Below are 12,792 nucleotides of genomic sequence, written 5' to 3' on the forward strand. Positions count from 1 at the left end.
TAGCATGTGGCAACAGCCAGAGAAGTCTGCAGAGGACCTGATGATGAGAGCTTTGATCAACAGGGCCAGAACATAAAATTGTTTAGGGAAGAGTAGATTGACCTGGGGCACTCAGGATACAACACCACCAGGGTATGTTGAGAACTCCCTACCAGCATGGCTCCTAAAAGCATGAAGAAGCAACGGCCCACGCTGAGCAAAGCTGAAATACCGGAATTGCCGTGGTAGACAGTGGAGGAAGGAATTCAAGGACTCAAGGAAGTTAGAATGGATAAAGTATCTACAGCTGGAAAATATGCCAAATAATCATGTTGCATGGGAAGCCCCAGAGGACACACCAAAACAAATGTGCAGGTGACAGGAGCACAAACATCATCAGGAAGATCAGTGGTAGCCTCCTCTGCAGGCCAGGGCTGACTACAAAAGTGGTCAGAGAGCAGAGCTCACCAGCAGTAATAGGGATGACAGAATCCTGAAACAAGAGATGCCAGGTGATAGGACTAAGTGCTGGAAGCCAGGCCAAAGTAGCAGCCAAAGGGGTCTGACCCACAAAGAGTCATGGAAATAGTTAATAGAACATGGTGTCCTTCGGTACAAAATAAGTGGGTAACCAGTAAGAGTACTACTTAGTTTGTACGAACATAAGAAACCAAGAATGGATAACCAAGACACTGAAGGCAGGTGATTCCAATAAATAGTCACACTATTCCTTGCCCAGTTCCAGACGTGATCATGTTTTTTGGACTGAAATCCACCGACTGAAGAGGTGGCCAGATCCCAGGAGGAAGGATCCTGTAACAAAATAACAGCCCTGTCATTCCCCAAAGGGGCTTATGGCCATTTACCTGGGGAGCTGTACACTGGGAAAAGAGGAATAGCAGACAGTTCAAGCCATGTTAGATGCAGTATCTGAATCATCATTGATACTTGGAGACTGGATACATCACTGTGGTGCCCCAGTTAGAGTAGAGAATATGAGGCCAAGGTAATAAATGGATCTTGGTCAAGGTCTGACTTACAGTGGGTCTACTGAATCACAGATCTACCCAGTGGTCCTTCCCCTGGTCCTTGAATGTACACTAGAATTGACATTCTTGGCAGACCCAACGTGCTACTCAACACTGGGTCCTTGACATGTGGAATAAGAGCTATCCTAATGGGAAAGCCAAGCAGAAACGAAATTACCACCACCCCCGTCAACCCAGGCATCAAAACCAATATTGCACTGTGGGGATGGAAGAGGTAAGTGCCACCCTTAAGGATCTGAAGGATATAGGGGAGATGGTACCGGTCCTATCTCCAATTAATTCACCTGTCTGGCCCCTGAAGACCTGAAGGATGACTGCAAACTACCACAAACTTAACCAAGCAGGAACTCTGATTGTAGCTGCCGGGCCAGGTGTTGTAGTTTAGCTAGAGCAGATATAAAGTACATGGCAACTGATTTGGTGAATGGGTTATTTTCTATCCCAATCAGAAATGAGGATCAGAATGGTTCACAGACATTTATAGTTATAGTTTTGCCCCAGTGCTCCCACCCACTCATAATACCAAAGAGCTCCCGACGGTCGGGGCATGCTGTAGAACCTCACACTGCTCCATTACACCTCTGACATTACGATGATCAGGCTAGAGACCTTGGTAAAATGCATGCACCGCAGTGGATGTGAGATAAACCCTACAAAGATTCAGGGGCCTGCCGCAGCCACACAATTTTTAGGAGTCCAGTGGTCTGGGGAATGCCAAGACATCCCCTCCAAAGTAAAAGACAATTATTGCATCTTCCACCTCCTACAATGAAGAAAGCACAACACCTAAGTGGGCCTTTTCAGGCTCAGGAGGCAAAAGAATGCACATTTAGAAACATTGTTCCAACCTGCTTACACAGTGGCACAAACAGCATCAACAGCTGCCCGCACTGAGGACAGCCCATGTGAGAAATGGCCTCAGCTGTTCCAGGCTAGAGTACAAGCAGCCCTGCTGCTGGGGCCATATGTTTCGGCAGATCCTATAATGTTGGTGGGAAAAGTTGCCAAAAGGAATCTGTTGCAGGCCACATTGGGAGAATCACAATGCTGGTCCCTGACGTTCTGAAGCAAGACCTGCCATCTATAGTGAAGAATTATGTGCCTTTGAAAAAATACTCCAGATGTGCTACTGGGCCCTGATAGATATGTAAGGCCTGGCCAAGAGATACCAGATACACATGTGGCCAGAACCACCCATCATAGGCTAAATTCTGTCAATCCCACCAGGCAATACAGCATCAGCAACAATCCATCATAAGGCAGGAGTGGTACTGCCAGAGTCAAGCATACCCAGGAGCCAAGAGCACAAACAAGCTGCCTGGGCAGATGGCCCGGATCCCCACAGCTCCACCACTGTTGCACCAGCTCCCCTCCCTCAGCTGATGACTAAGGATGTATGGATGAAAGCAGAGGAAAAAGCCCAAGCTTGGTTTACAAATGGGTCAGTTGGCAAGAGTGGCTGAACCGAAAACAGATGGCACTACAGCCTCACTCTGGGATGGCTCTGAGAGATAGCGCTGTGGGGAAATCTCTCCCAGCGGGTGGAGTTTCAGGCAGTGTACCTGGTCATCCACTTTGTGTGGAAAGAGAAGTGGCCTGAAGTTAGAATATAGATGGACTCCTGGTCAGAAGCAAGTGACCATGCTTGCTGGTCAGGGGCCTAGAAGAAAAAAGATTGGAAGATGATGGATGAGAAGGTCTTGGGGTAGAGACTTGAAGGTGCACAAATGGAAGGGAGCATGACGAGCTCTATCTCACACATGGAGGTCCATCAGACAGCAGCCACCATGGAAGAGGTACCAGGGTACCAAGCAGACAAAATGACTGGGGCAGTTGGTGTCAGCCACCCTCTGTCCTTAGCCACCCCAGAGCAACAGGAGGGGCACATGAATGAAGTGACCACAGTAGCAGAGAGGAGGCTTCACATGAGCCCAACAGCATGGATCCCGCTTATCAAGGCTAAGCTATATAATTAAGCTAACTTCCACTGCCAAACATCCAACTAGCCAGATACAATGACTCATGCTGAGCCCCCAAAATGGGACCATTCCTCCAGGAGACCAAACTGTCACCTGCCTTTCCTGCCTACAGGTCCCTAGCTGGCACCACTGCCCATCTAGTCTCCCTTCAAGGAAGGGCCTGCTGTCCAAATGTGCACTGTGTAGTCAGCACACAGCCTGTAGCTATTGGCTCCTTCAGGGTCAACCTCAGCTGCAGAGCCCCCTCTCCCAAGGTTGTGCCCTTCCTGGGGTACTTTGCTCTGGGGACTGAGAGAGATGGGGTTATGACAGCCATTCCAGCACAACACACAAAAATTCTGACAAGCCAGGCCTGATCAGACCCACATCACAGGTGAATAGTTCCCACCTCTGCTCTTTTCCTGTCACAGGTGTTGATCCCTCGTCAACATCTCAGAGCTCCCAACCTGAGGCATGTGCACAAACGCTCACAAGATGCCACCTTGTCCCACAATTCCTCGCTACACTTGCCAACTTTCAAAGACAAATGAGCAGAAGTGATGCAAGTATTTCAAATTATCAGGCACCATCTCATAGTCTTTATTCCCATTATTGTTGAGCCCTCAAACAAGTTTTAAATAGAAATTAAGGTTTTACATATACTATGTTTAAATACAATGCACTGAATTATAAAGTGAGGAGCTTGGGATTAATAAAAATAGCTTATAAAAATAAAAGATAAAGGGAACAAATGAGGGACAATAATTGAAAGGGATAGTTATATATGACTCTGCAATGTAAAAGTGTTCTACCTATTCAGTTAAACTTATTAGAGGGTCCCTGATAAACCAAGGGCAGAGACGCAGGTAAAATAGTCAATATATATTCAGTTTGGTGGAAAGGACAGACTAACAGAGAGAGAAGACATGCACTTCAAAGCACTTTACTAAGAGCGTCGCTCCAGGGCCATTCATAGCCACTTATGATGAAACATAAAACTATAATATGTGCAGCTGAAGAATACTTGAAATGGGAAACCATATCAAACACACCATGCCTATTTTAAATAATAAAACGACTAAAACTTTTGTTAAAGTTTCCTTGAGAACATTCCCCACTGCGCTCCCAAAACCCAAGTGCTTTCCTCTGCAATTATCAGTAAGAGACTATTAGGGAATATGAAGAGAATTTTGATGGTATTATTTCATTTATGGGGGAAAGAACAGCAACAACATCTGTCTACTTCTGGCTTCTCAGCATTTACAAACATAATAACCCAAACCAGTTACCTCTTCTCCAGGATAAATGCTGTGCCTAATTCCTGTGCGTCTTGCCTTTGCGCTGCATTTGCAGAGTGGTCCATCATTCATCTGTCAGAAACACAATGTAATTCGTTTTTATTGGAGGGAAAAATCCACACCATGCACGGTGATGCCTCCGAAAATGCGTGGGTTTTAATGTCATGAGCGCTGAAGCTCTGAGAGGCTGTCACGGTTAGAAGATTAAACGGATGTTCCAAAACCAATAAAGCTGCAAACTGTCTATATTGTCTGATAAAGGGAAACCGTGTGACAACACCACATTCCTGAGTTATTTGTGCAGCCAAGCAGAAAATATCAATGTCAGCACACTGTTTGCCCCCATCTTCTTCTACCAATTCCCAGGACACTTTTGTTTCCCTATTTCTTATCTCAAGAAAAATGACTCTTTCACAAAAGCAAATTTTATATCCTGGAGGAACACATAGAGTGTTTTGAAGGTGACCTGCGGATTCAATGTTTCAAAAAGAGAAACTGTAAGGTACCTCACTAGCAGAGAGAAGAAAATGCTACTAAAGCCAGAAGAACTTCCCACACTGCTCAGGTTAGATTACATCTCTTTCTCTGAATTTGTTTTAGTGCCACGAACTCCGCCCACAAGGCTCCATAGGCAAGCAATTCTTCAAAACCTCTGGAACGGATGAGTGCTAAGCACGGGGATGATAAAGAGCACCGGGTCCGTGTGCTCAATGAATATCTGTTCTAGACAGGAGAACAACATATATATGATGTGCTTCATAATTTAAAAGAAAAAAAAATCACTTAAAAGTAGGTAATGCTGGGGCGTCAAACAGATGAGATGGACAAGAAAACAAAATGGCTGCTCCACAAGAGGCACCAGCATGCATGAGAAAAGGAGAGAAGGCAGAAGGTCCACATCATGCTCTGGGCCACAAGACCCGTCTAAATAAAATGGACCATTTATGTGGGGGAAAAGACCAAAAGAAGCAGAACTAAGATCAAAATCTGAAGGGCCTCACAAGCCAGGTTCATGAGTTCCTCTGGTATAGATGGTAATACTGAATCAAAAACAAGACCAGAGCTCAGATAGGGAAAATGAATTTCCATTTCCCTTTTTTTGTAATAATTTAAAAATATAGGCTGGTCAGAGTGTAATGGATTTTACAAGTAATTGATCACAGCCAGTTACAGATTTCTTCGTTTCTTCTCCACTCCCACTGCTTCTTCACTTGACTAGCCTTAAAAGAAAAAATATACGTATACATATATACACACACATATTTCTTTAAAGTTATGGAGATTTATAACTCATTATGTCCAATTAAAATATAAAAGTCAATAAGACTTTTTGAAAAAAAAAGTATTAAAGTAAAAAGCTATACCTTTCTTTAGCCTCTTGGGAAATCTAAAGATCCAGGTGGTACAGCAGAGGAATAATATCGCTACCAAAAAGAAATATTATGTTAAGATATTATCTAAAGTAACAGCTGGCAAATAAGAGACGTAACAGGATTTCATCAAAAGTTGTAACACAGCTGTGCGCAGTGGCACACGCCTGTAATCCCAGCACTTTGGGATGCTGAGGCGGACGGATCACCTGAGGTCAAGAGTTCAAGACCAGCCTGGCCAACATGGCAAAACCCCATCTCTACTAAAAAATACAAAAATTAACTGGGCATGGTGGTGGGCGCCTGTAATCCCAGCTACTCATGAGGCTGAGGCAGGGAGAATTGCTTGAACCAGATATGCAGAGCTTGCAGCGAGCTGAGATTGTACCACGGCACTCCAGCCTGGGCGACAGAGTGAGACCCCGTCTCAAAAAAAAAAAAAAACTTATAACACACTCCTAAGGCCAGGTGCAATAGCTCATGCCTGTAATCCCAGCACTTTGGGAGGCCGAGGCAGGCAGATCACTTGAGGTCAGGAGTTCGAGAACAGCCTAGCCAACAGGGTGAAACCTCATCTCTACTAAAAATACAAAAATTAGCTGGGCGTGGTGGTGCAAGCCTGTAGTCACAGCCACTGGGGAGGCTAAGGCAGGAGAATCGCTTGAACCTGGGAGGTGGAAGTTGCAGTGAGCTGAGATTACACCACTGCACTCCAACTCCAGCCTGGGCAACAGAGCAGGAGTTTTTTTGAGACTCCGTCTCAAAAAAAAAAAAGACAAAAAAAAAGTTATAACACACTCTTAATGCCAGTCATGACTTGTTGTGATGAAAAATATAAAAAATTAACTTAGTGTTCACGGATCTCCAGGGAAGCAGAGACATCCTACATGCTTGCCTTTTACCAAGGTCTGGGATCCTACATATTCAGCCCTTCACAAGGCTCAACTATACAGAGGACACAAAACCAATAACACTAAACAGCATTAGAAAGACTGTTTACAAAGCACTGTTGAATTTCTGATAGAAACAGGTATCCACGGAAATCAGTGTAGAGGCTTCTTGCGAAACAGGAAACAACAGTCAAGTAAAAAGACTAGAGGGCCAGGCGCAGTGGCTCATGCCCGTAATCCCAACACTTTGGGAGGCTGAGGCAGGAGGACTGCTTGAGCCTAGGAGTTTGAGACCAGCCTGGGCAACATAGCGAGACCTCATCTCTACAAATAATTTTTTAAAACTACCTAGGCAGGCCAGGCGCAGTGGCTCACACCTGTAATCCCAGCACTTTGGAAGGCTGAGCCAGGTGGATCACCTGAGGTCGGGAGTTCGAGACCAGCCTGATCAACATGGAGAAACCCTATCTCTACTAAAAATACAAAATTGGCCAGGCGTGGAGGCGCATGCCTATACTCCCAGCTACTCAGGAGGCTGAGGCAGGAGAATCACTTGAACCCAGGAGGCAGAGGTTGCAGTGAGCCAAGATCGCCATTGCACTCAAGCCTAGGCAATAAGAGCGAAACTCTGTCTCAAAAAAAAAAAAAAAACTAGCCAGGCATAGTGGGACGCCCCTATAGTCCTAGATACTTGGGAGGCTGAAGCAGGTTTGGCCTGGGAAGTCAAGGTTCCAGTGAGCCGTTATTGCGCCAGTGCACTCCAGCCGGGGCAACAGTGTGAGACCAGGTCTCAAAAAAAACAAAAAAACAAAAAAACCCATATATGGAGGAAGTTTATTTTACGGGGGACAAAAAATGTTCTAAAATTCAATTGTAGGGATAGTTGTGCAACCCCATGAATATACTAAAAAATGCTGGATTATAAATTTGAAGTACAATTGTATCATATGTAAATTATAACTCAACAAAGCTGTTTAAAAAGAAAACCAAGTTTTAAAATGCATTGGCAGTTCTGCAAACATTTCTGCTCAATTCCAAAGAGTAAAAGGAACACACAAAATACATTTCTGCCAGACGTTCTATAAAAAAAAGATGGATAGCTGTCATCTAACAAGAACCAGGAGAAAAGCATTTTAATTAATATAGAATGTTATAAATTTACTCACAAAATATAAATTTTAAATTATCTTTTTACAGATATGCCTTAGCTTCCTAACTTTACATGCATTAAAGATATAATTTTTGTATGTATTATATATCTGTGTGACACAAATCTTTTTTAACAATGCTAATTTTATTATGTATTACTTCATATTAAGACAGTAATTAAAAATAAAAATAATTATGTCCACCTATTATGTTTTTAGCTCAAACATGCTTAACAAGGAAGAGAACTTGTGACTGTTACCAACTAAAAAAAAGAAATCTTATAGGACTTATTTACTATTTTGCAGCAAGATACCTTCCAGGTGAACTACTTCTAAAAAGACCTCCAAGTTCTCTCTCCTCATCCTACCATGTGTCTCCTTCCATCTACTGCAATTTAATGAGGCAGGGCCATTACTCCTCTCCCCAACATGGAATTTACAAACATCATCAAAAATGATTCAAGGGACAGCTGCTCTGGTGCTTATGCTTTGGAACTAACCTGAAGCTGAAAAGAAATAGCTCTGAAGGACAAAACCCTGACAGTAAAATTCAGTTTCAATACTAGGCAACATGTATCTTCTGAGCCCAGAGCAATAACCGTTATGTCTGGGTTTGCAACCTTCACAGCAAGGGCATAAAAACACGCACCTGGCCTGGATCGTTGTACCAAAGTTCATCATGAAGTCGGTCAGGGTGGGCCTTTTTGCGTTTGATTTCTGCAATAACGTCAAAAACTTCAGAGTCTGAGCTGCTAGAACAGGTGCTGTCCTCATCAGACTCACACTCGGATTCACTGGAACTCTCTAACAGGGGTTGGGAGAAAAATACAGAAATTGATGGAATTAACAAACTGGTTTTTTTTTTTCCCTGAGTTGGAGTCTCGCTCTGTCACCCAGGCTGGAGTGCAGTGCGCGATCTCAGCTCACTGCAAACTCCACCTCCCGAGTTCAAGTGATTCTCCTGCCTTAGCCTCCCGAGTAGCTGGGATTACAGGCGCCTGCCACCACACCCAGCTATTTTTTGTGTTTTTAGTAGAGACAGGATTTTGCCATGTTGACCAGGCTGGTCTCGAACTCCTGACCTCAGGTGAAACACCCGTCTCGGCCTCCTAAAGTGCTGGGATTATAGGCATGAGCCACCGCACCCGGCTGACAAACTGGTTTTTGTGGAGGCTTCCAAATGACCTAAACCTCTAAAGGTAAGAAGAGTTCTTTATTCTTCTAGAAAATACTTAAAGGCCTACTCTACACCAAATACTCTACTAAGCAACACCATAAAAAAAAAATATAGCCCATAATGCTAAGTCACAATCTAGTTGGGGAAGCAAAGAAAATAAAGATCTTTAGAGAGAAAGTAAGACTTGATGAGCAATGTCAGATAAAATGAAAAACCATAGTAGTAGTACGTAGTTTAACACTTAAGCTATGTAATGATCCATAAAAGGGCAGTTTCACTGGGATCCAGAAAGGCTGGTGATAATTTCAAAGAAGGAGCACATGTGACCCAGGCACTGCAACAGGATGGGAGAAGCATGATAAGGAGGAGAAAAGAAGAAAGGAATGAAGAGGGAGCATCGTAGGCAAAAGCGTGGAGCTAAGAACACAGTGGACTAGCTAGAGCGCGGGCCACACGGAAAAACACTGGGAGGTTAGGGGCTGGGAGTGCTGGGAATGCCACAGCGAAGGCTGGGAATGCAAGACCAAAGACTTGACATTTCTTTTCCCTCAATAACAGCAAGAGAAGGTGTTAGTCCTTAAAGTGACTGAATAAAAACAGACACAGACTTATGCTAACTGAAATATGCCAGTCACAAAAAGACAAATACTACATGATTCCACATATATGAGATGCCTGAGAGTCAAATTCATAGAGGAAGAAAGTAGCATAGTAGTAATAAGGGAACGGGGGAACTGGGGTCTGGGGAGTTATTCCTTAACAGGTCCAGAGTTTCAGTTTTATAAAAGGAAAACAGTTCTGGAGACTGGTTGCAAACAAGGTCATGTTGAACCCTATTGAACTGTACGCTTAAAAATAGTTAAGATGGTAAATTTTGTATTACTTATATTTTACCACAATTTGAAAAAAAAAAAAAACAGACCTAGAAGTTAGATTAATCCTACATAGTGAGATTCCATCTCCACAAAAAGAAAAATAATTAATTTTTAAAATAAATTAATCCTATAAGAGATTAACATAGTAGTAGCATAATGAAATCCAACATGGAGTTGTATTTACATGTACTGCATGAGATAGATGCTACTGTCTACTGTCATCCCTATTTTACAAATGGGAAAAATCTAAGGAGATTAACCTGTGGCCCAAGGTCACATATCAAGTAGGTGGTAGAGCAGGGATTCAAACCCAAGCCATCCAACTCCCAACTCAGGTGTCTTTGCCCAGTATGGATAACTGCCTCTCAGCGTGTGGGATGTAATGGAGGTGGGCAGATAAGAGCTAGAGAGAACATGTAGCTAAATGCACACTGAATGTCTCATCTGTGCATGGCATTCTGTTAGGGGCTAAGGATACAAAGTGATAAAAAGCAATTTCCATTCTCAAAGATCTCACAACCTACTTGGAACCTCAGAACATACACATGAAAAAATAGACCACCTTATGAAAAAGCTATGCAAACTGTCTACACAAGTGGAGAGAAACCTTCAAACAGAGCTGGGGTACAGTCGCTGTTTCCCTCATCAAACCAGGCGCACCTGGCAAAGGAGAGGGCCAAGGAAGGACACCTGTCCTCATGAGAGGCAGGGGGCATGGGCTCCTGCTCTCGGAAAGATGCTGAACTCTTCTGACTGGACAACTCTCCAAGGGGCACCCTTGTTAGCATGCCTTGCAAATGAGATCGCTGCTGTATTCTGCCAAATGAACTAAGGAAAAATACGATCAAAAAGAAGGAAGTTCTACTGCTATGTATCTTACTGACTGTAATTAAGAAAAATAAAATGAAAAAGAAGAAATCTCAATGTGGGACTCTCAAGGGTATTTCCCCAAAATTTAGGAATGAAGCTATAATCGCAAGGGTCTCAGGCTAGTTAGTGACTCTGACTCACCTAAATCTTCATCGAGCTTCGTCTTTGGAGGTTCCCACGGAGGCCGAGCAGCTTTGGCCTTTTCTTGCCTGCTCCCCAACTCCTCCTCAAATTTGTCATATAAGTCACGAAGCCTACTCGTTCCAACCACTGTAGAATCTCCCTTTTAAAAATAAAGGATCAATATTAGGAACTATATCAATAACGATCATATCAAAGATATGTAAGATCTCACAGGTAATCAAAGCATTTTTAACAGCAAGATGCTATTTTTCAACCCTAAATTTAACAAACATTTAAAAACAAAATGCTCAAGTACTGGCAATCATACTCTGAATCAAACACACACTTATCGCTGACACAGTCTTCAGGTAAATGTGCCTTGCCAACATTCAGAAACATTAGAACAGGCCAGGCGTGCTGGCTCACGCCTGTAATCCTAGCAACTTTGGGAGGCAGAGGCAGGAGGATTGCTCGAGGCCAGGAGTTCAAGACCAGCCTGGGCAACATAGCAAGACCCCACCTCTATGAAAAAGAAAAAAATTAGCCAGGTGGTGTGTGCCTGTGCTACCTGGGAGGCTAAGGCAGGAGAACTGTTTGAGCCCAAGAGTTGGAGGATGCAGTGAGCTATGACTATGACTGTGCCACTATACTCTAGCCTGGGTGACATAGAGAGACCTCATCTAAAAAAAAAAAAACAGAAAAGAAACATTAGAACAGTTCATCTATGCCCTATTAATATGACATTTTTTAAAAAATCATGACCCTCAGAGAATCATGACAACTGACATCAAATACCCTCATAGGGAATGTACACTTCCTACTGAAAATCACTGATAACCTATCTTCTCCTATATCAATCCATCGAGCAATAAGAAATATCCTATATATCCCCTCTCTCTCTCTCTCACACACACGCACACACACACACACACACTCTCATGCCTTAAACACGAGGACATAAACATGCACACACTCTCTCTCACACACACACAAACACATACCACAAACACGGGACTCTGCAACAGATTCCTAGAGAAAATTTTCCACTTTTCCTCACTCAATTTCCAGGTTGAAAATCACTTTACATCTCCACACTCTGACTTAGTAGCCTTAAAATGTAAAAACCAGACCTGTCAAATGTAAAATTAAGGCAAATCATAAAATCTGGTACCCAGAAGAGGGGATAATTCAGGCCCCATCTCATTGTTGGGAGTGGCGATGCCGGTATAGCTTTGACATTCTCACCACCTTCTCTGCACCACACAGACGACAAAACTCAAAGGCAAATGTCAGCCTTTTGAGTTTATCAGTCTTCCTCCTACACTGGAGTTTTAATATACTCATAACGATGTAATAAAAAACAACCAGCCCTGCCTGTTTAAACTCCCTGAACTTCAGTGTCTTCATCTTTATTGTTTTAAGAATAATAACACCTATGGCAGCCATTCTTCCCTTCTTCCTAATAGAAGCAGGATTCTGTAAGATTTGGAGAAGAGAACTCCTGATCTCTGGGAAGGTAGGCTGAGCCACCAGCCCCTCCCAAAGATGTCCATGTCCTAATCCCCAGAAATTAAATATATATGTTAACTTACATGGCAAAAAGGATTTGCAGCTGGGTGGACCCAATCTTAGAACAGGAATCCTTAAAATCAGGGAACCTTTGCCAACAGGGGTCAGAGATACAACAGAAAAAGAGGCAAGAGATATTCAAAACACGAGAAGGACTCGACCACCATTGCTGGCTTCGAAGACAGAGGAAGGGATCCACAAGTCAAGGAATGCACATGGCCTGGAGGAACCAAGAAGTGCCCACACCTGACAGCCAACAAGGACACAAGGTCCTCTGTCCTCCAGACACAAGCAACTGAACTCTGCCAGCAACCTGAATGAGCAAGAAAACAGATTTTCTCCAGAGCCTCCATAAAGGAGCACAGACCTGCTGACATCCTGATGGAGCCAGTGAGGCCCATGCTGGACTTCTGACCTCCCAAGCTGTGAGATGACAAATGTGTGCGGTTTCAAGCCATGCCATTTGTGGAACTCTGTCATGGCAGT

The 12,792-nt window shown here is 43.5% G+C and overlaps 1 protein-coding gene across 3 annotated transcripts in view; it reads right to left on the reverse strand.

Annotated features, from left to right (window-relative positions):
- Positions 1 to 12,792, reverse strand: part of DROSHA (drosha ribonuclease III) — a 131,600-nt gene that overhangs the window by 99,786 nt on the left and 19,022 nt on the right. For all 3 annotated transcript variants that reach the window (NM_013235.5, NM_001100412.2, NM_001382508.1), the window contains 3 exons: positions 10,756 to 10,897; positions 8,342 to 8,496; positions 4,276 to 4,356 (listed from right to left, as the gene is read on the reverse strand). In NM_013235.5, coding sequence (NP_037367.3) covers positions 4,276 to 4,356; positions 8,342 to 8,496; positions 10,756 to 10,897 — 378 coding nt within the window. The remainder of the gene's footprint in view (positions 1 to 4,275; positions 4,357 to 8,341; positions 8,497 to 10,755; positions 10,898 to 12,792) is intronic.

The sequence above is a fragment of the Homo sapiens genome, chromosome 5 (assembly GCF_000001405.40).
Source record: "Homo sapiens chromosome 5, GRCh38.p14 Primary Assembly".
NCBI classification, from domain to species: domain Eukaryota; kingdom Metazoa; phylum Chordata; class Mammalia; order Primates; family Hominidae; genus Homo; species Homo sapiens.